The sequence below is a fragment of the Homo sapiens genome, chromosome 10 (genome assembly GCF_000001405.40).
Source record: "Homo sapiens chromosome 10, GRCh38.p14 Primary Assembly".
Lineage (NCBI taxonomy): Eukaryota > Metazoa > Chordata > Mammalia > Primates > Hominidae > Homo > Homo sapiens.
In genome coordinates, this window is record NC_000010.11 from 5666608 (window position 1) to 5690607 (window position 24000).

The following is a 24000-nucleotide window of genomic DNA, read 5'->3' on the forward strand; positions in this document are numbered from 1 at the left end:
GCGGGGCCGCTGGGCGGGGCCAGTCTGCGCTGGGCCGCGCGTCGTCCCGAGGCGACCGAGCCGGGAGTTGTAGTTCCCGCCGCCTTGGCGAGGTTCCCGGAGGCGCTGTCCCTGGGTCCGGACTCCGCTGTCGCTGCCCACCCCGCTTCGCCCGTCGCGCCGAGGAGTGTGTGTGCTTGCATCTGCAAACCGTGCGTCCCGTGCACAGAATACGTCCGGTGCAAAACGTGTCCTGTGCACTTGTCCTATGTAAACGTGTGTGTCCGTGTGCAAAACATGCATCCTGTGCATATGTCCTGTGCAAAACATGCGTCCGTGTGTAAACTTGTATCCATTGTAAGCATGCTTCCCTGTGTCCCTTTGCAAAGCATGGATATGTGTTTCCATGTGCAAAACATGTGTCCTGTACAAAACATGCATCCTGTGCATGTGTCCTGTGCAAGCGTGTCCTGTGCAAGCGTGTGCAAAACATGTGTCCATGTATAAACATGTATGTATTGCAAATGTGTCCTGTGCAAGCATGTGTCTGTGTCCACGTGCAAAGCATGCGTCTAGCTTCCAGAGTTCACTTGCATTGTACAGATGCTGATGATGCTCCAGAGTACTCGAGTTCCCCCATGCTTTAACTTTCAAGAACCGCTTCCCACCAGAGCCGGTGTTCATAATCACTGTTTCTTTGATCTTTCAAGATAATAATTTCAAATCGTTCAAATCAATTTCTTAATGCCTTTTCTTTACGGGTGGTTTTTAATCCAATGTTCCCCTAAGCTGCTTAGCAAATGGAAGCTGGGGCACAACCTGGCAGAAATGAAAAACCTGTTTCCTGTTTCCGGAATAATACCCAGTCAACAATTGAGTAAGGGATTTTTATTTTATTTATTTATTTTTGCAAAGCAGCTTCCCAAGTTTAGAAGGTTTAACCTTGTGAAAGTTCACTGTAGCCCTGTCAGGAGATTCGTCACTCACCTGACCTGTACTGAACCTCCATGCAGAAGTTAGTTTGGGCTCAAAAGTAAAAGTATCAGGAATCATCCAGTCTGGAAATAGGTGAGGCCTGGCAGAGCAGCCAGTTTGATCTCTCACACTACAAAGCTTCTGGGATGACCCAGGTCTCCATCTGCAGTCCAGACCGAAGGCACTATACCTAGGGGACATTGAACCATATCTTTTGGAAAGCAGAGCCCCTGGAAATGTGGAGCCCCAGGCCTGGGAATGGAATTTCAAGCCATTTGCACTGGGCATTTAGAGCCTTTTTGCCACTTTCTACCAAAATCAGGCTCCTGCATTTTTCTTGCCGGTTTTCTGCACTTTTTACTAAATGTAACAGATTTTTGTATCGTTATATTTACCATGGATGTTATGTTTTCCCCTGTGGCAATGTCGTGTTTGTATGATTGCATTTTCTTCAATATTTCTTCCTGGACGAAGTGTCATCTAAATTTTAGTATGATCATGTAGAACATATATATATATGTGTGTGTGTATATATTCATATGTGTATGTGTGTTATCCAAGTGTTTCCTAAACATATTAATAAGCAAGTATTTGCTTATTATTTGTTTTTCCTCCATTCTGTTGCTTGACCAAAATATTAAAAGATTTCATTACAGAAAAAGCTTTGCAAAGTTTACATATATATTCAGAAATGCATTCCCTGAAAGTATTTCCTTTTTCTTCAATATTTAGAATGTATTTCCCCAGCAAGAGCCAGAAAATATAAATTATTCTGTTCTGTTCTGTTGTTGTTGCTAAGTCTTTGAGTCCCATCTGGAATTCACTGCAATGTGTAGAATGAAAATATAGGAGCTCAGTTCATTCTTTTCTAAACTGAAATAGAGTTTTTCCAAAAATATTCATTAAATAGTAATCCACTTATCTATTTTTGTGTTAATCTCTTTTTATTGCATGTTGGTTCCAATTACCTTTTGAATCTATTGTAAGAACCTCTATGATATTGACAAAGTTTCTATTACTCATTTAGCAAATATTTGCTGATTACCTAGCCTAAGGTCTGTGATTTTTAAACTAACTACCACATGTGGTTTTTTGTTGTTGTTGTTTTTTGAGACGGAGTCTCACTCTGTCCCCGAGGCTAGAGTGCAGTGGCACCGTGTTGTCTCACTGCCATCTCCGTCTCCTGGGTTCAAGCAATTCTCTGGCCTCAGCCTCCAGAGTAGCTGGGATTACAGGTGCCCACCACCACACCCAGCTGGTTTTTAAAATATTTTTAGTAAAGATGGGGTTTCACCATGTTGGAAGTAAATGTCATTTTATAAGATCATAACTTTTGTATCAGCATTTTAAAATCTGATAAGACCGCTATTTGGAAAGTGGTGTAGTTGGGGACCCCCTACACATTGTTAAATGAGATGTGTTAACCCCTGGTTTTTCTAATAAAGACAGTCTTCATACCACATTTTTAGAGTCTTCTAGGTCATAAGATACTCTTCTTTTGCCTCCAAAATAAATAGCTTGGGTGAGGACTAAATTTTTAGGAAATCCAATTCTATTTGCTTGGATAAGCCATTTTTCCTAAATTTACTAACTCGAGAAATCAAGGTTTTGTTAAACATGTATATTTCTGGGTTTCTCCTGGAGATTCTGGGCTCCAGGGAGAGACGGGGAGGCAGCCCTATAATTTTTTTTAACTATTGCTGCAAGTTTGGCAATCACTGGTATAACCCATCCTCCAAAGGCTGTGAAGAAGCATTTCATTTACAATTTATATTGACTGATTCTATTCCTAAATATAAGAGTATTGAAAAATATATAGGGTTCTTCAAGTTTTGGTTCCTCTCTCCAATCTTCCTGCCATTGTTAACTTTTCCGAGTCCTTAGGAAGTTGCTGGGTGCAGTGGCACACACCTGTAATCCCAGCTACTTGTGAAAATCGCTTAAACCCAGGAGTTTGAGACCAGCCTGGACAACAAAGTGAGTCCCCCATCTCTAAAAAAAATTAAAAAAAAAAAAACAAAGCCCTTAGGAAGTTGTTTTTGGTAGCTTGTCTGGTTTTTATTTGTAGCTGTGGCAGACAGAGACTGTAATGGGCTGTCACCATCTTGGCTGGCACAAGAAATCCTGATCTGATTGGATTTAAGGAAAACAAAGTCATCAGTTTAGGGTTTTCTCCAGCTCAAAGACCAGGCCAGGGACCAGAAATCTTATATGGCCACCCTGCAAGAAACCCTTATCTCTCGTAGCCACACAGCCAAGATTTCTGAAAGCTAAACTCAAAGTATAAGCTTGCAGGTGACTGAAACAATGCAGATTCTATTCTCAACTCTGCAGAGTCTCTCATGGTAAAGGTAGAGAACTAATTGGAAAGGAGTGGGATGCTGAAGAATGGAATGGGAGCAAATGGGCAGATTTTCATGAAGCTGAAGACCTTAAACCCCTGAATTCTGCTGAGCCTTCTTTGGCCAGTAGAAGGAATCCACCTGTGCTTACTCAGAGGGTTAATCTTGCCTGATGAATCTATGATGGCCTCACCAGTGGAAGCTGATTTGCAAAGAGCTGGGGATCCTCCTCAGGATCTACCCCCCACCTCACCTGTCACTGCTTCTAGACCTGTAACCCAGACTCGGCCTGCCCGGCCCTGAAAGGTAAGTAAGGTTCAGAGGGGTTTGAGGCCTAATAAGGCACAACACGCACCATAAAAGTTGCAAGATTTTTGCCAAGTGACATTGGCAGAAATCTGTAGAACTTATATAGGAATGGATCAAAGGGATACTGGATTAGATTGGAAGGAAAATAATGTTGGATCAGGCCAAAATTTTTAATCAGGTTTACCACATCACAATTCTAAAGTCAGTTTGCTTGTTCAAATGGCTAGGCATGTTTCTACAGGTGAAATGCCAGAACTTTCTCAGTACACTTTGGAAAAATGTCTCCTAAAGGCTTAGAATGCTGGAGTAGATTTTTCATGTAAAACCTGTCCACCCATCGCCTAACTCTGGCTCTCAGAATCTGAAGAAAACCCCCTCACAAGACTGAGAAGTCCATTTGTCAGGACGGTGGGGGTCGGGGGTGGGGGCTTCTTAATCCTTGGGGAGTCTAGGTCGGTAATGATGGTGGGGAAGTTGCTGTCATTAAGCTTTACTCGCTGAATTCACTGGGAATGATAGAATCTGATGACTGAGTGGTGGCACTTAATTGCCAAAGCCAGTGTGGGACCAGCTGCCATCATGGGCAGCAGAACTGGCACAGTCATCCAGATGGTCTGTCCTCAGAGATCTTGGGCAATGATTAGTCAGTGACAGCATCCCTAGAGCTGAAACACATGGCAGCCTACTGAAGCCTTACTTGATTTTTACAAGCAGGAAAGCTCTAGGTCTGGCGAAGAGCAGTAAAGAAAAATCATTTTAATAGGGAGTTTCAGCCTCCCAACCAATTCCTAGAGTTGAGCCAGTTCACAGACCCAGAGCTCCTTGAATGAAAGTGGGTCCAGGTACACCTGAACTCTGAGCCACAGAGTTTGTACTGTAACTCGTCCTCCTGACCTTCCCAAAGAATCTCATGGATATTTACTAGGTTGTATATTGACTATGCACTGAAGAAAGGGAAATAACGACTACTCAGCAATTGCGGGTCAATGGCTCTGAACTGACACTAATTCCTGGAGAGCTAAAATACCACTATGTCTATCAGCTAGAATACTAGTTGATAGAAAAAATGATCAGTCGAGTTTGGGCATAGGTTCGTCTCAGATAAGCCAGTGGGTTCTTGAATCCTGTAGTTATTTCTTCAGTTCCAGAATGCATCATTTGAATATATCTACTAGAAACTGGCAGAGTCCCTACATGGATTCTCTGAGCCAAGCAGAAGGCACTGAAACTGCCTCTATCTACCAACATAGGAAAAAGGCATTTCACATTGCTGGAGGAATTGCAGAGTTTAGTGCTACCATCAAGAACATGAACCACCGTGCCTGTAATCCCAGCACTTTGGGAGGCTGAGGCAGACGGATCACGAGGTCAAGAGATCAAGACCATCCTTGCCAACATGGTAAAACCCCGTCTCTACTAAAACTACAAAAATTAGCTGGGCGTGGTGCCGCAAGCCTGTAGTCCCAGCTACTCGGGAGGCTGAGGCAGGACAATCGCTTGAACCCAGGAGGTAGAGGTTGCAGTGAACCGAGATCACGCCACTACACTCCAGCCTGGCGACAGAGTGAGACTCTGTCTCAAAAATAAAAAAACAAAAAACAAAAACAAAAAAACAAAAAAAAAAGCATGAAAGATGCAGGATGGTGACTCCCCCTGCTCCCACCCACCCCATTTCCATTCAAATTACATAATTTTGCCTGTGCAGAAGACAGGCAGTTTCTGGGAGAATGACAGTGGATTATTATAAACTTCATCAGAGGTGAAGCTGCTGTTTCAGAAACGGTTTCATTGCTGGTATTCAGCTATTGGTCTGATGAATGCGTTCTCTGGCTACGTGGTTACACGTGGTTAGTGAAGACCATGAGGAACAGTTTGCTTCCAGCTGGCTGGGGCAGCAATTCACCATCACTCTCTCACCTCAGAACTTTATCAACCTTCTGATTTTATGTCATAATCTGATCTGCAGAAATCTTGGCTGCCTCTCCATTCACCAGGCTATGACTCCCATCGAGTGTTTTGATGATACCAAGCTGATTGGATCTGATGAGCAGGAATTAGTGTCTACTGTCAGCATTTCAGTAAGACGCATGCATGCCAGAGGGTGGGACAGAAATTCAAATTTCTATTGATCTGGGGCATGTCAAGATACACCTCCCAAAGTAAAGGGAAGGGGCTGCATCTGACCCCTCCAGCCACTAAGAAAGAAACATGGCACCAAACAGGCTTCCTTGGATTTTCAAGGCAACATATACCTCATTTCAAACGTTTTTTCGTTTTCTAATATAAGCAGCCATTGGCTGTCACTGGCTCCCTATTTTCAGCTTCTCAAAGTCTTAGGTGTGTGTTTGGCTCCAGGGTGAAGAACATCAGCTTTCCTGCTAGTTAGTCATGCCAGTGAGGTTGGGCATTGATAAAGTGGACAAAGGCATAAATTTCCCTCTAATCACTGCTTTAGCTGCATCCCACAAGTTCAATGTTATGATTTCATTTTCATTCGGTATAAAACATTTTCTAACATTTCTTATGATCTCTTCTTGGATCTGTGGCTTATATAGACATGTGTGTTCTAATTTCCAAGTATTTGGAAATTTTCCAGATATCATCTTGTCATTGAGTTCTAATTTAATACAGAATCTATACATAATATACTCTATAGTATTTCAATCCTTTTAAGTTTATTAAGATTTATATTATAGTGCAGCATATGGTCTATCTTACTGAATGTTCCCTATACACACTAATAGAACATATATTTGGCAGTCAGGTGAACTGTCTATAAATTTTAGTCAGGGCAAATTGTTTGACAACGTTACTCAAGTCTTCTCTACCCTTCTGATTTTCTATATTCTTCTATAATTTCCTGAGAGACTGAGGCCAGTTTCCAACTGTGAATCTGAATTTGTGTTTTTCTTTTTCAGTTCTGTCACATTTTTCCGTATGTTTATTGAAGCTTTTTTACTAAATTCATACACTATTAATACCGTATCTTCTTGATAAATTGATCCTTTGATCATTACTAAATGTCCCTCTTTATCTTTTTTTAGTAATATTGCAGTAAATTTTTTAGCAAATTTTTAGTAATTTAGTAAATTTTTAGTAATTTAGTAAATTTTAGTAATTTAGTAAATTTTTAGTAATATTTAGTAAAATTTTTAGTAATATTTTTGCTAGAATGTCTACATTGTCTGATGTAAATATGGCCACTTCAGCTTTCTTACAATTAATGTTTGCATGTATGGATTTTTTCATTCTTTTGCTTCCATCCTGTGTTTTTTTATATTTACAGCACATCCCTTCTACCTCACCTGTACTTGGAATCTGACAGTCTCCACCCTTTTTTTGTTTTTGTTTTTGTTTTTTTACAGAAAGGGTCTCCCGATGTTGCCCAGACTGGAGTTTAGTGGCTATTCATAAGCACTATCCTCCCACACTACAGCCTTGAACTCCTGGGCTCAAGCAATCCTGTTGTATTAGGTCCGTTCTCTCACTGCTATAAAGAAATACCTGGGACTGGACCGGGCACGGTGGCTCATTCCTGTAATCCCAGCACTTTACGAGGCCGAGGCAGGTGGATCACGACGTCAGGTGATCAAGACCATCCTGGCTAACACGGTGAAACCCCGTCTCTACTAAAAATAAAAAAAATAAAAAAAAAATTAGCCAGGCGCGGTGGCGGGCGCCTGTAGTCCCAGCTACTCAGGAGGCTGAGGCAGGAGAATGGCGTGAACCCGGAAGGCGGAGCTTGCAGTGAGCCGAGATCGCGCCACTGCACTCCAGCATGGGCGACAGATCGAGACTCCGTCTCAAAAAAAAAAAAAAGAAAAGAAATACCTGAGACTGGGTAATATATAAACAAAAGAGGTTTAATTGGCTCACAGTTCTGCAGGCTGTACAGGAATCATGGGTGGGAGGCCTTAGGAAACTTATAATCACGGCAGAAGGTAAAGGGGAAGCAGGGAAGAGAAAGAAGGGGAGGTGCTACACACGTTTGAACAATCAGATCTCGTGAGAACTCACCATCATGAGAACAGCAAGAGGGAAATCTGCCCCCATGATCCAATCACCTCCTACCAGGCCCCTCCTCCTCCAACATTGGGGATTACAATTCGACATGAAATTTGGGTGGGGACACAAATCCAAACCATATCACCTCCTGTCTCAGCCTCCTGAGTAACAGACTACAGGCACGCACCACTGTGCCAAACTTGTGATGTATTTTTTAAAGAAATTCTAGATTTTGCTGATTGCATCCTTGTGGTGTCATGTAACATGTTCTTCGTTCCCCGTATTTTCTGTACACTGGAAGGTGGATCTATAGTGTAGATGCTTAATTAGATCCAGGTTTTTTGGTAAGAAGACTTCATAGATTGTAAACTTCCAATTGCATTAAATCTGGAAGCCTATGATGTCTGGCTTTCCTTCTTTTTGTGATAATAAATTTGATGAGTTGGTCTAGGGATGATCAAACCGATCCATTAAAATAACACTTTTTTAACTCTTTTAACACCTCTCAGGCCATGTGCTAAGAAATTATGGTATATACATGATCACATTTGATCCTCATATTAACCCTATGAGGTAGGTCCTGTTACTATCTCCATTTTGCAGATAACAATACTTAAGCACAGAGAGGCTAAATTACCTGCCCAAGAGCACCCAACCAGTGAGTGGCATAATTGGAATTGGAATCCAAGTGGTCTGGCTACAGAGCCTCCTTATGTTTACTGAGCCATACATAATACATGATCCATGTGTATGACTGAGTTCCAATAAAACCTCATAAAAACTCGGGAGGCTGAGGCAGGAGAATGGCATGAACCCAGGAGCCGGAGCTTGCAGTGAGCCGAGATCGCGCCACTGCACTCCAGCCTGGGCAACAGAGCAAGACTCTGTCTCAAAAAAACAAACAAACAAACAAACTCATAAAAACAGGCAGCAAACCAGATTTGACCAAGGGGCACAGTGTGACAACCCTGCTTTATGGCATTAATTCCACTCTTTATACATTCTATCAATGTTTTCAGTTCATCCTTAGCTCTTAAAAGTTTTGCTCTTTCTTGTAATATTACAGCACATGACCTTTTTAGGTTTTATTTTAAATTGACACAATAATTATCTATATTTATGGTGTATGGTATGATTGTTTGATACATGCATACAATGAGTAATAACAAAATTAGGGTAATTAACATATTTATCACCTCAAACATTTATCATTTCTTTTTTTTTTTTTTTTTTTTGACCAGGCTGGAGTGCAGTGGCACGATCTCAGCTCACTGCAACCTCTGCCTCCCGGGTTCAAGCAATTCTCCTACCTCAACCTCCTGAGTAGTTAGGACTACAGGTGCACACCATCACGCCTAGCTAATTTTTGTATTTTTAGTAGAGACGGGGTTTCACCATGTTGGCCAGGATGGTCTTCATCTCCTAACTTCGTGATCCGTCTGCCTCAGCCTCCCAAAGTGCTGGGATTACAGGCGTGAGCCACTGCACCCAGCCTGTTTTGTTTTGTTTTTTTGAGACATGGTCTTGCTCTGTCACCCAGGCTGGAGTACAGTGATGCAATCTTGGCTCACTGCAACCTCCACCTCACTGTCTCAAGAGATCCTCCCATGCCCAAGCAATCCTCCCACCTCAGCCTCCTGAGTAGCTGGGACTACAGGCAAGCACCACCATGACGGCTTAATTTTTGTATTTTTTGTAGAGATGGGGTTTCACCATGTCACCCAGGCAGGTCTCAAACTCCTGGACTCAAGCAATTCACCTGCCTTGGCCTGTCAAAGTGCTGGGATTACAGGCATCAGCCTGGCCTTAGCTTTGTTCTTTTTGATCAAGATTGTATTGGCTATTTGTGAACTTTTGTGGTTCCATATAAATTTTAGGGTTTTTAATTCCATTTCTATGAAGAATATCATCAGTATTTTGGCACAGATTGCATTGAATCCATAGATCCCTTTGGGTAAGCATGTGCCTTTTGGCTGGAATTTCTTCTTTTGTTTTCTTTTAAATATAAAGATTAATTTCAGTACTCTTATATTAGTTTGATAGTGTTAGAGTAATGAGTGTTGAAAATTAAATAGTATCTATCATCTAATTTTAACTGCAACACAGGTACCTGAGACACCAATAAGAAAAACCAGTTCCTGGGCCCCCACCCTTACCTAGTTAAAAAGAACTTCAAGGCCAGGCACAGTGGCTCACACCTGAAATCCCAGCACTTTGGGAGGCCGAGGCAGGCAAATCAGTTAAGGTCAGGAGTTGAAGACCAGCCTGGCCAACATGGTGAAACCCTGTCTCTACTAAAAATACTAAAATTATCCAGGCATGATGACGGGTGCCTGTAGTCCCAGCTACTTGGGAGGCTGAGGCAGGAGAATTGCTTGAACCTGGGAGGCAGAGGTTGCAGTGAGCCAAGATCATGCCACTGCACTCCAGCCTGGGCAATGGAGTGAGACTCTGTCTCAAAAAAAAAAAAGAAACTTCAGGTGTGGGGCCCAGCATTTGCATTTTTAGTAAGATTACAAGAGTGCTGCTATGTTCTCTGGGAAGCAAACAATGAAATAAGCCAGGGTTAGGAGTGCTCCCCAAAGGCTTATTGGGCAGTGTGTCAGTTTCAGTTCTCCAAGAAACAGACACCAAGATGGGCTAGACGTGCAATAGATTTATTAGGGAAAATTCCATGAAGAGTAAACGGGGAGGTGCAGGGGTATTGTGGGAGAACGCGCAGATGGAGATAAAAGCCTGGTATCTGTGAAGGAAGAGCAATAAGGAAGGTCTGGATATAAGGAGTCTCAGATCACAGCTCAGGTCTGAGTGTAGTTTTGCCAGGCTGATGGAGAGTGCCTGAGCAAAGGTTGCCCATTGGAGGGTCCAGGCAGGCTTGGACCAGCACTCGTATCCCCGCTGTGCTCAGCCACTGTCTGGGAACATCCTGGAGGAAGTGTGAGAGGCATGGTGGCTCCAGTGGGGTGGAAGTTGGAATCTGTGAGTCAACTCTGCTCCCAGAGCAGCTTCTCTTTAGAAAGATCACTTCCATCACTACCACAGTCTACCTCCTTCCACCAGATAAATCTATTTCTCCGTACATATTTAGGGGAGCAGTTTCCTTATGATTCCCAAGAGCCTCTCAATGGGGAACTTAGAAACAGAAGGTCAGTGGTACAAATAGGATCTCTCTCTGCAGTTAGTCTCAGGGCTTCAATGGGCATTCATCCTCTTCTTCCTCCACCATATTTTAAATTTTCCTATCCCTCTTAGCTATCACCTCAATAAGTCTTCATGGCTCACCTTGTAACATGACTCAAACCTTGACACTCAAGGGGCCTGAACTCATAATCATCATACATTTCTAAGGCTGGAATTGCTGCCTGTGTCCATCAACAGTTACAATGGGACAAGGGAGTACCAAGAGGCCCCCAAGTGCACCCCTGGATTGTACAAGTGTTCCTTCCCGTGTTCAAAGACAGCTCTACCTCCTCCTACCCATCGGCAGCAATCACTACTGTCAAGAAAGTCACAGCTGTTCGCACCTGCTGCTGCCTTGACACAAGAGTCTAAGTGCCCTGGCAGCAGCTTTAGCTTGGGATTCGAAGGGCAGGTGCTGAGTCTCCTGGGAAGAGGACACATTTTAGGGTTATTTAATTTTTTCTTTTTGTTTTTTCTGGCACATGTGAGACACCTTTTTTGGAGACAGACCAGGATCTCCACCCTGGCAGAACTTGGGAGTTTGGGAATGGATGTCTCCCCGTGGAAGTGATAGGAATTGGGGCTACTTCTGCTCCATCTCCACCTCCAGCTTCCCTCTCCTCCTTCCTGGCCTTCTCCTAGTTGCAGATATTATGTAGAACCCTCCCTAGCTGCCTATTTATTTTGGAATACTATGTCCTATCTGCCCCCTCTAAGGGCCAGGCCCCGTGGGCTGTCTCTCCACCTCTGCCAGTCATTAGAGTAATGACTTCTGACAGCTTCTATCAGACCCCGCCTGCCTCTATTACCCTAGATCCTGCCTGCCCCTGGAGACCGCCTGCCTCTAGTACCTCAGCTCTGTCACCACCTCTCTTATTGTGAGCTCACACCTGCATAATCGTCACTTCTCCTGGGTTAACTCTGGTGAAATCGTCACCATTCAGGCCACCACTTGTTACCAAGGTCTGTCCTATACCTCACATTCCTCTTGGAATGAGCCCCTTTTTGCCATCAGGACCGTGAGTCACCCAATTCCAAAACCCCAGCTGGCCTTCTGTTTTCTTGGACCACTCTTAGTATTTACTTGTATCAGTTCCTGGTCTCTGAAAAGCAGACATACAGGCGATTTATTGGGGGAAATGCCTGTAAAGAATAAACCGGGAAAGAGCAAGAGTAGGCGGGGAGAGTCTCAGATTGTGGTGCAGACCTGACACTTGTGCATGGAAACGAGGAGGAAGAATTGGGTAGGGAGAGTCTCAGACCACCATGGAGCTCTAGGAAAGTCTCAGCTGGGAGATGTGCACCTCAGCATGAAGGTTCTCCGTGAGAGAAGCCCTGCTCTGGGCAGGAATGACCCAAACTCCTCCTCCACCACGCTCAGGCCCTGGCTGAGAACAGCCTGAGGGCAGCAGATTTCATCCTGCACTTCTCTCCACTTCCATAGCGCTTCTTTTTTTAAAAAATTTCTAAACACAGCACTTTGTATTTTTCTTACGGCATTTTTTGGAGGAAGTCCTGCAGTATTGCTAAGTTTTATAAATTGGGCAATGGGATACTCTTAAAACAGAGACATTCTTGGTTTCCTACTTATTATTACAGATGATTTAACCCCTTTTACTCTTCCCCCATTTTTATACACACACATTTTCTCTCCCTCATACTCCTAATATAACGTGTGTATGTGTCTGTGTCTGTGTGTGTGTGGTTAAAGAACTTGGGGTGATATTTTTGATAGATACAGAGATTAAAAATGATGCAGTTGCTAATATCAAGTAAAACAAAATTTGTACAAATGTTTTTTATGGCTTAGCTGTAAACACACAATAAAAAATGATGACATGACTATATAGAAAGCATGGAGGAAAGCAAATGTACACTTGCGGGGTGTTGCCTGAAATAGCTCAGTCCTCATTAGCCATTTTAGGAAGATTTTATCTAAAACTGAGAAGTCAACTGGAGACAGTAGCTCATGCCTGTAATCCCAACACTTTGGGAGGCTAAGGCAGGAGGATTGCTTGAGCCCAGTAGCTCGAGACCAGCTTGGGCAACATAGTGAGACCCCCATCTCTATTTAATATAGTAATAAGAAGAATGAAATTGAGAAGTCAAGAGTGGCAGGAAAAAATAATTGAGTAAATAGCAGAAGAAACAGCTAAAAGAATTGGAAGTGCTTGTCTCCAAGGAGGAATCAGGTAGAGGACAGGACAGAGGATAGCTCCATATTATTTTGTGTCAAGCAGTCTTGTCGTTCTCTTGAACTTTTATTTCCATGTTAGTTATTAAAATTGTATACAATGGAGAATAAGAGTAGGATTGTCAGGAATTGGAGTTTTCCTCTCCGACCTTCTCATTCTGCAGATATGGAAAGCCCAGAAGAGGGAGTCTGTGTATTCAGCACATGGATTTCCATTCTCTGAGTCACACTAAGTGATGGGAATACAGTCATGGACAATGGTTACTTTGAAATCCTTTCTGTTAGATCTGACATCTGGTCATCTTCTGGGCAGTTTCTGCTGCTTGTTTTTTTCTCATTGTATGGGTTATACTTTCCCATTTCTTTGCATGCCTTATAATTCTTGATTGGCAACTAGAGTTTAGATAATAAATTGACGCAACTCTGTGTAATATTTCCCCACACACATAGTGTTAAGCTTCTGATCGTGCTTCTCATGATGACACAACTTTAAATATGCCCACCATCACTCTGGTACGACAGTGGCATTGGTAGAACTCTCTTTCTCTGAAATAGATATTAGGTCTTTATAGGTCTATATCTACTAAAGATATAACATCCTGCACTTAAAAACCTTGCTATAAAAAACACAGGCCCTGATTGTTTCACTGATTAATTATATTAAACATTTATGAAGAAATACTGCCAATTTAAATCAAAGTATTTTGAAAATTAAGAAAGAAAACTTCCCAACTCATTGGATGAGGCCAGAGTTACCTTCATACCCAAACTGAAGACCTCACAAGAAAAATAAAACAAAAACATAGACCAATATCTTGTATGAATACAAATGCCAGAATCCTTAACAAAATATCAGCAATTCATATCCAGTATAATATATGAAAAGGATAATGAATCCAGAATAAATTGGGTTTATCTCAGGAATTCACTGTTGATTTAACATTTGAAAAATCAATTGATGTAATTCACCATATTAGTAGATCAGAAAAGAAAAACTATATAATCACCTCAATAGATGCAGAAAAGTATTTGACCAAATTCAACACCCGTTTATGAGAAAAACTTTCAAAAAGTAGGAACAGAAGGGAAATTCATAAATCTAAAAAAGGGTACAAAACACCAAAGCTAACATTATGCTTAATGGTTACAAACTAAATGCTTTTGCACTAAGATGAGAGACAAGACAAGGATTTTTTTTTTTGAGTCAGGGATATTTTATTTCACTCCTTATATTGAACATTACATTAATGGAATGGCCTTGATGCAATAAGGAGAAAAGAAATACGAATTAGAAACAATGAAGTAAAACTATTTTTATTTGCAGAAAATGTCCTAAAAAAGCATAAAGAATGCACACATGTGCAAACAAATAGCTACTGGATATAATAAGTGATTTCGGCAAGCTACAAGATATAAAGTTAATATGGAAAAATCAATTTTATTTCTATATACTAGCAACAAATTATTGCAAAAATTTTTAGTACTATTAAGAATAACATCAAAAACAAAGAGATAAATATGACAAAATATGTGCAAGAGCTGTACACTGAAAACTATAAATATTGCTGAAGGAAATTTTTAAAGACCTGAATAAGTAGAATTTGACAATTAGTAAGATGTTAATTCTCTCCCAGATTGATATGTACATTCAGCACAATCCCAACCAAAATCCCAACAGGTTGTTTTTGAGGTAGAAAATAAGCTGGTTCTAAAATGTATACAGAAACTTAAAAGACTTAGAATAGATGGGCCGGGTGCAGTGACTCATGCCTGTAATCGCAGCAGTTTGGGAGGCCGAGGCGGGTGGATCACCTGAGGTCAGGAGTTTGAGACCAGCCTGGCCAAAATGGCGAAACCCCATCTCTACTAAAAATATAAAAAATTAGCCAGGCGTGGTGGCAGACACCTGTTATCCCAGTTACTAGGGAGGTTGAGGCAGGAGAATTGCTTGAACAGGGGCTGGGGGTGGGGGGCGGAGGTTGTAGTGAGCCAAGATTGCACCACTGCACTCTAGGCTGGGCAACAAGAGTGACGTTCCGTCTCAAAAAAAAAAAAAAAAGACTTAGAATAGCCAAACATACTTGAAAAAGAACAACATTGTATACTATGCAAATTCAAACCATGACACACCCTTCAGAGTGGCTACAATTCAAAAGTATTGGCAGGGATGTAGACGAACTAGAATTATCTTTGTGGAACTGTATAACTTAGTAAAACCAGCTTGCAAAAAGTTTGAAATGATCTGCTAAAGTTGAACATATGCCCTTGTTATTGCCACAATAATGCCCTATAATAAATCACCCCAAACTCGGTTAGCTTTTGATAACAGCATTAACTTTCAGAATCCTTGATCTTCAGGATGTCTAAGGCTCTGTTAATCCAAAGTGTGTTGGACTGTGGGTTGGTGTCACATCTGTTCCACATAGGTTTGTTCTGGAGACTCAGGCTGAAGAGACAACAGCTACGCGAGATATTTTCTCCACATATGAATCACCTGAGCACAGGAGCCAACTCAAACAGCACGAGCACACTGAAGAATCCTGCTGTGTCATGTCTGCTGATATTCTATCAGCCAAAAGACCTCTCTTAGACCAAGCCCAACGTCAATGAAGTAGAGAAGGAAACTTGGCCAACCGTGGGGAATAAGGGCATAAATATTTGCAGAAACAAAAATCTAAATTATCATGTCTAGCATTCCAAAATCCCAATCCTAGGTTTTCATCCAACAGAAATGAGTGCCCATGTACACCAAGAGATGTAAATGAGAATGATCACAAAAGTATTATTTATAATAGCCAAGAACTGGACACAGCCCAAATGTCCATCAATAATACAATGGGTAAAGCAAATGTGTTACATTCACGCCTACATATACAGCAATGAAAACGAAAGAACAAGTACACCCAAAAACACAGTGAGTCTCACAAGCAGGCACAAAATTATTCACTTTATATACAGTTCAAACCACAAGCAAACTAAATGATAAAGTTTCAGGGTGCATATTTAGTTGGCAAACTTACTTTTAAAAGCAAAGAAGAGAGTACCATGGAAGTCAGAATAGTGCTTAGGCTAGGGAAGAGGGATGGGGTACTGGCAATGTTCTATTTCTTGATGGGGGTGTTGGTTTCATGAATATTTGCCTTGTGATAAATCATGGAGTTGTACATTCCGGTTTTGTGCACTATTAAAATGTTGTTGTACTTCACTCTCTACTTCCACAGTCAGCCTTCTTCTGTTCTTGAATAGGTTTCATTTCACTTCTCAAGTCCTTTGCACTTGCTTTCCCTTCTGCCTGGAAAGCTCTTCCTCCACGTATTCCAAGCTTTGGTTCTATCAGTTTTGATCTTTAGGGTTTGACCTCAGATGTGCCCATTTCAGTAAGATCTTGTAGCTCCACTACTTCTGCCCTTGGCCTCCAGCCCCCAGTCCCATCCACTAGCATTTCCAGTGAGTTTTCACAGCATGTATTGTTATCTGAGATTCTATTTTCTTGTCGTGGTGATTTACCTGTGTTTGTCACTCACCTCTGGAATAAATTCCATTATAGGCAGGGTCCTTATCTAGCTTGTTCATGATTGTAAAACCAGTGTCTATTACAGCACCTGGTTACAGTAAACAGTAAACACAATGACTGAATCTCTTGGTATTACCAGCACAGTGCTTGACTCATGATACATGTTCATTAGCACTTAATCTCTCTCATTGGTACAGTCATATGTCACTTAATGTTTCAGTTAACAACAGACCACATATCCAACAGTGATCTTATATGATTATAATAGAGCTGAAGAGTTCTATTGCCTAGTGATGTCGTAGCCATCTTAATTTCGTACAGCAACACATTACTCATATGTTTGTGGTGATGCTGGTGTAAATGAATCTACTGCACTGCCAGTCATATAAAAGTACAGCACACATGGCCAGGCGCAGTGGCTCCACCGTAATCCCAGCCCCCCAGTGGGACAAAATGGAGGTGAAGACAATGATGTTGATGATCCTGACCCTGTGTAGGCCCAGGTTAATGTGTGTTTGTGTCTTAGTTTTTAACAAAAAAGTTTAAAAAGTAAATTAAAAAAATTTTTAAATAGAAAAAAACTTACAGATTAAGGATATAAAGAAAATATTTGTGTACAATGTGTTTGTTTTAAGCTAAGTGTTATTACAAAAGAGTCTTAAAAAGTTTTTTAAAAGTTTTAAAAAGTTAAAAAGTTACAGTAAGCTAAGGTTAATTATGAAAAAATTTAAAAAAATAAATTCAGTGTAGCTTAGGTGTACAGTGTTTATAAAGTCTACAAGAGTGTACAGTAATGTCCCAGACCTTCACATTCTCATTGCTCACTCACAGACTCACCCAGAGCAACTCCCAGTACTGCAAGGTCCATTCGTGAGAATGCCTTACACAGGTGTACCATTATTTTTCATACTGTATTTTTATTGTACCTTTTCTATGTCTAGATATGCTTATACAAATACTTACCATTGTGTTATAATTGTCCACAGTATTCAGTACAATAACATATAGCATGGGTTTGTAGCCAGGAGTAATGGGCTATGGCTTATGGTGTAAGTATGTAGTAGGTTATGCTTCTAGGTTTCTGTGATGTTCACTCAAGGACCAAATTGCCTAATGAGGCATCTCTCTCATAAGGTGTCCCTACAGTTAAATGATGTTTGCATGACTATTTATCATGGGCAAGGGTAAACCTGAATTTATTGATGGTCACCTTAGCTCTCTGTGCATGTGTTATAAATTTCTAGAGATGCTTTCCTAGGGGGTAACAGCCACACCTACTATATGGATTAAAACAAGGGCAAAATTTCCAAAATGTCGCATTCGGGCCAGACAAATAAACTGTTCTTGCAGCAGCACCTGGGGAATGAAACGCTGAGAAGGGAGAAGGCGCCCGAAGGCGACCACGTGGGCCACAGCCACAGCACTGTAGGTCAGCCGAGAGAGCGTCTCCCGCCTCTTCCCAAGGGCATCTTCCGCCTCCTGTCAAGGGTCGGCAACGCGAGACACCACGCGCTCGTTGGGATCGGCCGCCTAATCAGGAGCGAGCTGTGGCCTTACGCCTGCGCAGAGGGGAGACGCGAGCGCCGCGTGGACGCTGACCTCGGTCCGCGCCTGCGCCTTGGTTTCTTCCCGGCGATTGGTTCCCATCTCTGAGGGAGACGCCTCACTTCAGTTTTCACTTTCTTTTTTTGCCCCCCCCTCCCCTTTTCTTTTCCTTTGGCCGCGAGGTTTTGCTTCCGGTTGCTAGCGCCGGTCAGAGAGAAAGTCGGCATGTTCTCGCAGGCTGCCGGGCGTCCCGGGGTTGCCTCTTGCCCGTGACCCTGACGGGAGACAGAGCGCGGGCGGCCGCGGCGTCCCTGTCAGCGCCCGCGGCGAGGACCCCGGGGCTGGGGCGGACGGCGTGCCCCTGAGGGGGGTCCCCGCGGGAGCGCGGAGCCGGCGACTGGTGCTTCCCACGTGCGCCGGTGTCGCGAGGGCCCGGGAGGACGCAGAGCACGGCCGGGAGAAGCATGGGAAGGAGGCCGAGCCGGGATCTCAGGTCCTCGGGGGCGGCGGCCACGCCAAGGACGGGTAAGTCCCTCCTCGGCCTGGGCGCCCGGGAACCCTGCGAGGAGGACGGCGGGTCCCCGAGGCCGAGCGCTCGGGCAGCTGCCGGGGCTTGGCTGCGAGGGTCGACGCGTTCTCCTTGCCTTTTGCCGCGCTCCGGGTGAGGGGGTGGGAGGGGTCGGCGCCTTCTAGATGACTCAACCTTCTGTCCTGCGCTACAACCTGTGGCCGCGCTCGGTGTCGCCGGCAGGGAGATCCTAACCGTGTCATCTTGCCCCTTTCTGAGGCGTTTCGTTTGCGTCGCCTGTCAGGGGACAGCTGCGTCCTCAGGGATATGCTGATAAGTTCTTGGCTGAAGTTTCCGTCTTCGGGTTTGCACCGGCTGGGAAATCATTTCCTGCGGGTTCTGCGTGAAGCCTGCTGCTACTCGAGACTTCATGGCAATGCGCCACCTTTTCTTTTTAGGGTAAAACAGGTCTCTCCGAAGGGAGGGTCATTTCAGCAGCAAGCGCAAGCCGCGTTGGGATAACTTGGTGCGAGCAACACAGAAGTTTGTCTGAAGGCGGCGCCAAGCAGCGTTTCGTGGGAGAACTGGGTTGATGACTGAAATTTTGAGGAAGATTACTTTGGGAATTCTCAAGTTTCTCTTAGTCGCTTCTTGTCTATTTGAAATCTGTAACTTTAAACAAACCACGCTTACTCTTCCTTATTCTCCCTGTAAGGTACAATTAGAATAGAAAAGTTTATGAAAGTGTATCCAAAACTTAAATATGTGGCGTACAAGTGTATGGTATTATTGGAATGGCATTCGCGATCCTAGAGTCTACAGTGTTCCCTGAATAAAACTAGGGGTGAGCCTGGCGGTAATCCTGCCTAGGAGGTTTATAGCAAAGCAGTGTCCCCTAACGGTGCAAGAATACCCTTCTGTCGAAAAACTGCCTTATAGGAATGGGTGACTGTATGCGGTATGTCCTGTACTGTACATCAATAAATAACTAAGCCAGGCCAGAAAAAGGGTGACAAAAGGTCCACAATTATGTTAAGGAAGACCAAGACGGTATATTTGAAGTTTTGTGTATACAGAACATTTGCCCAAATGTAACTAATTTTTTTAAAGGGAGATTATAAGCATCTCCTGTGGTCCAAACATAGTTGTTAAAATGGGTTAAAATCGGTGAAGTGCCTAAGAACTTGACTGAGACATGGTGTTTGTTAAATACAGTATACTATCTATTCAGTAAAAATAGATCAATATGGCATGTATTTATCAAGTGAATTTCATTTTTCTGTTGGTAGACATTCAAGTTATTTTCAAGATATCCCTATAACTGACAATACTGCAGTGATTATCTCTTGCTGTTATAAACAGTGCTTCAGGTGGTCATGATAGTATTTCTGTAGAATTGACTCCTTATGAGAGTGCTGGATAACCATGTTGCTAAATTGCCCTGAAATGATTGTACCTTTTTATGTTCACTCGCTCAAAAGATGTGTTTTTATCTCCATGCTAGCCAGCACTGGATGATAATGGTATTTTTAAAATATCTTAGCCACCTAGTAATTGAAAGTAACATTCTGTTTTAATTTTTATCTTCCTTGGTGAATACAAAAGTTAAATCTTTTTAGGCAGGTCATATCATTTGCTGATGTTTTTATTGAGTCTGAGCTCTCTTTTCTTTCGCCCATGTAACTATTACTGTAGCATTTTAATTATCATAGTTTTATAATATATTTTGGTACTTTCTTTTGAAAAAGAGCTTTGGGTTTTTCTTTTGCATTTTTTCTTCCAGAAGAAATTAAAACTATCTTTTTAAGTCCTATAGAAAATCTTGGGATATTGTTTGTGATGGTGTTGAATATATAATCTGAGAAGAGACATTTATTTGAGTTTTTCCTTCTAAGAGAATATGTACATCTCCCTTTTCTTTAAAAATTTTTTATTGTGAAATATGTCATTAATATGTACTGACAAAGCGTATCTGTGTAATAAATATGCTTTTTGTCAGTACATGTTAATGGTATATTTCATAACAAAAATTAATAAAAGCTTTAGAAACTTTAGTTAGTTTGGAAACCTTTTGTGTGTTTCTACCCCAGGAGGAATGCGTTCCCTGCCCCCCGTTACCCTGGCCATTATTAATTTTGTGTTAATTATTCCCTTGCCTTTTTAAACAGTTTTATCACCTATATAGATATCCTTAACTAGCATTGTTTACTCTTACCTGTTTTTGAACTTTATTTAAATAAAGTCATTCTGTATTCTATGAGTTACTTTTGTTAAACATTGTTTCTGAGATTCACTCATGTTAAAGCACGTGCCTATAGTTTAGCAATTTAGAAACTTTATTCCCAGGACCCCTCTACACTTTTTAAGAACCATTGAGGGGGCCAGGTACGGTGGCCCACGCCTGTAATCCCAGCACTTTGGGAGGCCAAGGCAGGTGGATCACTTGAGGTCAGGAGTTAGGGACCAGCCTGGCCAACATGGTGAAACACCATCTCTACTAAAAATACAAAAATTAGCCAGGTGTGGTGGCAGGTGCAGGTAGTCCCAGCTACTCGGGAGGCCGAGACAAGAGAATCACTTGAACCTGGGAGACAGGTTGCAGTGAGCCAAGGTTGTGTCACTCTACGGCAGCCTGGGTGACAGAGTGAGACTCCGTCTCAAAAGACTGCTGAAGATCCCAAAGATCTTTTGTTTATTGGATTATATCAATTGATAATTACCGTATTAGATATTAAAACTGATAAATTTGAAATGTATGTTTATTTATTGGTACCTTTAAATATAATAACCCATTACATCTTAACATATTTTATCTCCCCAAAATTAGTGACAAGAATGGGATTTTTGTACATTTTTGCAAATACGCTGAAGGTCTCCTTTAATGACTAGAGTCTCATCTGCTTTTGTATTCATTGTGTTGCCATGTATTATTTTGGTTGAAGTGCATGAAGAAAATCCAGCGTCATTCAGCTGAGTAGTTAGAAAAGAGATGAATATTTTAATAATCTTTTCAGATGATTATGTTCTTTTTTGATACTCATCAAAACCTAACAGTTTTGTGTTTTTGTTTCTGTTTTGTTTTTTAGGACAGTGTCTTGCTCTGTCGCCCAGGCTAGAGTGCAGTGATGTGATCATAGCTCACTACAGCCTCCAACTCCTGGGTTCAAACAATCCTGCCTCAGCCTCCTGAGTAACTAGGGCTACAGGCACACACCACCAGGCCCAGCTAATTTTTAATTTTTTTTTTTTTTTTTTTTTTTTTGTAGAGACAGTATTGCTATGTTGCCCAAGCTAGTCTCGAACTGCTGGCCTCTAGCAGTCCCCCTGCCTCGCCTCTCAAAGCACTGGGACTATAACATCCAGCCCCTAACAATTTGTTAAACGTTAGCTGCAGTGTAGAATTGCAAATCATATGAATGAACTTCTCATGCTCTGACATTAACATTGGCCTACCATGCACTTTCAAGGGCTCTTTTACCTACACATGTGTCATTTGGAAAACATTGGTTCACTGAATTGTGCAGCTCTTTCACATGACACATTTCATTATATAATTTCAGAAAATTGGTTGGGTGCGTGGGCTCATGCGTGTGATGCTAGCACTTTGGGAAGTTGAGCTGGGAGGATTGCTTCAGCCAGGTTTGAGACCAGCCTGGGCAACATAGTGAGACCCCATCTTTACAAAAAAAAAAAAATTAGTGGAGCGTGGTAGCACACACCTGTGTTCCCAGCTACTTGGGAGGCTGAGGTGGGAGGATTGCTTGAGCCCAGAAGGTTGATATTGCAGTGAGCCATCATCATGCCACTGCACACCTTCCTGGGTGACAGAGCAAGACCCTGTCTCCTTTAAAAAGTACAGTTTTTGGAATGGCTTTTATTGAAGATCTATTGATGATGAACACTCAGTTTTTGTTCACCTGAAAATGTCTTTATTTTGCAGCCATTCTTGAATGATGTTTTTGCTGAATACAAAAGTTGGCAATTGTTTTCTTTTAACATGCTGAAGCTCTTATTCCTCTGTCTTTTGGCTTTCATTATTGCTATTGAAAAGTCACCTATCAGTCTATCAATTCATTTTGTTCTGACTGTTTTTTGTGGGTTCTTTTGTTGTTTGTTTTGATCTTTAGCTTTTTGCTGCTTTGCTGTTAACTTGTATGTATTGGCCGGGTGCGGTGGCTCACGCCTGTAATCCCAGCACTTTGGGTGGCCGAGGTGGGCGGATCAAGAGGTCAGGAGTTCAAGACCAGCCTGACCAATATGGTGAAACTCTGTCTCTACTAAAAATACAAAAATTATCCCGGCATGGGGGTGCGCGCCTGTAGTCCCAGCTACTCGGGAGGCTGAGGCAGAAGAATTGCTTGAACTCGGGAGGCAGAGGTTGCAGTGAGCAGAGATCACGCCACTGCACTCCAGCCTGGGCGACAGAGCAAGACTCCATCTCAAAAAAACAAAAAAACAAGCATGTATGTATCTTGCTTGGGATTGTCTTCTTAAATCTGTAAATTGGAGATGTTTTTAAATGTGTTTATTCATAATTTATTAAATGTGATTTCCATTCGTGTTATTTATCTTAATGTATAAATAATTTTTTAAATTATCTACATAGTAAATATTCTCTTCTGGTCTTTTACTCTTCTTTCACTTTGTTTCCCACAGCTTCCCCAACAGACATACATTGCCAAACTTGTGGATTTTTGATAATTTTTGATAAGTTAAAAGTAAAACAGGAAATCTCTGGAACTAGTCTTTTGGAAGAGGGGGTAGAGTTTTTGACTACTCTTTTCATTTTCTTCATCATTATTGGTTTATTTAAATGTTTCTTCCATTTAGACCAATGTTGGTAAATTATATTTTTATAGTTTTCAGATTTATTGATATAAATTATACATGGTGATTTATAATTTTAGAAATATCTTCCTTGTATTTGTGGTTGTATCGTCTTTGCTTTCAATATTTAATTTTTTCCTTTTTACTTATTTATATTTGCTAAAAGATTACCTACTTTATTATTACTCTACAAATAACCAGCTTTTGCTTTTATTGCTTGGCTTAGTTGGCTTTTTTAATTTGCTTTTTAAAATTACTGTTTTTATCATAAGAAATGTATCTGGAGTGTACTTTGTTTTCTCTTAGTAAGATTTTAATTACATTTAATCGGAGAACTAAATCCCTTGCTAATATTTTGTATAAAGATTCACTACCCTCCTTGGCATGGTGAAATAGACCCTGTTTAGAACCTTTCATGTACACCTGCTCCCTCATTAGGAGAAGGAATATTCAAGATCCCAATGCCTGAGGTTTGTCCAGTTGGGGCACCTACTTTACCCTTGTGCATATCCCCTATTTATCTGTGCCCAGGACATTTTGCGTGGGCTACGTGTAGAGGTGGTGGCCATACATAGTTATCTTTATTCTGGCATAAATCAGATGTCACGTTCTCTTTTGCCAT

The 24000-nt window shown here is 41.8% G+C and overlaps 1 protein-coding gene across 5 annotated transcripts in view, besides 5 other annotated features; it reads left to right on the plus strand.

Annotated features, from left to right (window-relative positions):
• Window positions 17785–18024: an enhancer, noted in NCBI's record as "active region_2925". NCBI's record gives its function as "activates an Ori minimal core promoter by ATAC-STARR-seq in GM12878 lymphoblastoid cells {active_cell/tissue: GM12878}" and the evidence as "EXISTENCE:reporter gene assay evidence [ECO:0000049][PMID:35858748]".
• Window positions 18165–18274: an enhancer, noted in NCBI's record as "active region_2926". NCBI's record gives its function as "activates an Ori minimal core promoter by ATAC-STARR-seq in GM12878 lymphoblastoid cells {active_cell/tissue: GM12878}" and the evidence as "EXISTENCE:reporter gene assay evidence [ECO:0000049][PMID:35858748]".
• TASOR2 (transcription activation suppressor family member 2) overlaps window positions 18231–24000 on the plus strand; it is a 78903-nt gene continuing 73133 nt past the window's right edge. For 4 of the 5 annotated variants that reach the window (NM_001321783.2, NM_001321785.2, NM_001321784.2 and 1 more), the window contains exon 1: window positions 18231–18568. The gene's annotated coding sequence lies outside the window, so the exon portion shown is untranslated. Of the gene's footprint in view, window positions 18569–19009; window positions 20809–24000 lie in introns of those variants that run through there. The other variant, NR_135800.2, reaches the window with a different exon arrangement.
• Window positions 18325–18584: a silencer, noted in NCBI's record as "silent region_2083". NCBI's record gives its function as "represses an Ori minimal core promoter by ATAC-STARR-seq in GM12878 lymphoblastoid cells {active_cell/tissue: GM12878}" and the evidence as "EXISTENCE:reporter gene assay evidence [ECO:0000049][PMID:35858748]".
• Window positions 18625–18674: a silencer, noted in NCBI's record as "silent region_2084". NCBI's record gives its function as "represses an Ori minimal core promoter by ATAC-STARR-seq in GM12878 lymphoblastoid cells {active_cell/tissue: GM12878}" and the evidence as "EXISTENCE:reporter gene assay evidence [ECO:0000049][PMID:35858748]".
• Window positions 18895–19074: an enhancer, noted in NCBI's record as "active region_2927". NCBI's record gives its function as "activates an Ori minimal core promoter by ATAC-STARR-seq in GM12878 lymphoblastoid cells {active_cell/tissue: GM12878}" and the evidence as "EXISTENCE:reporter gene assay evidence [ECO:0000049][PMID:35858748]".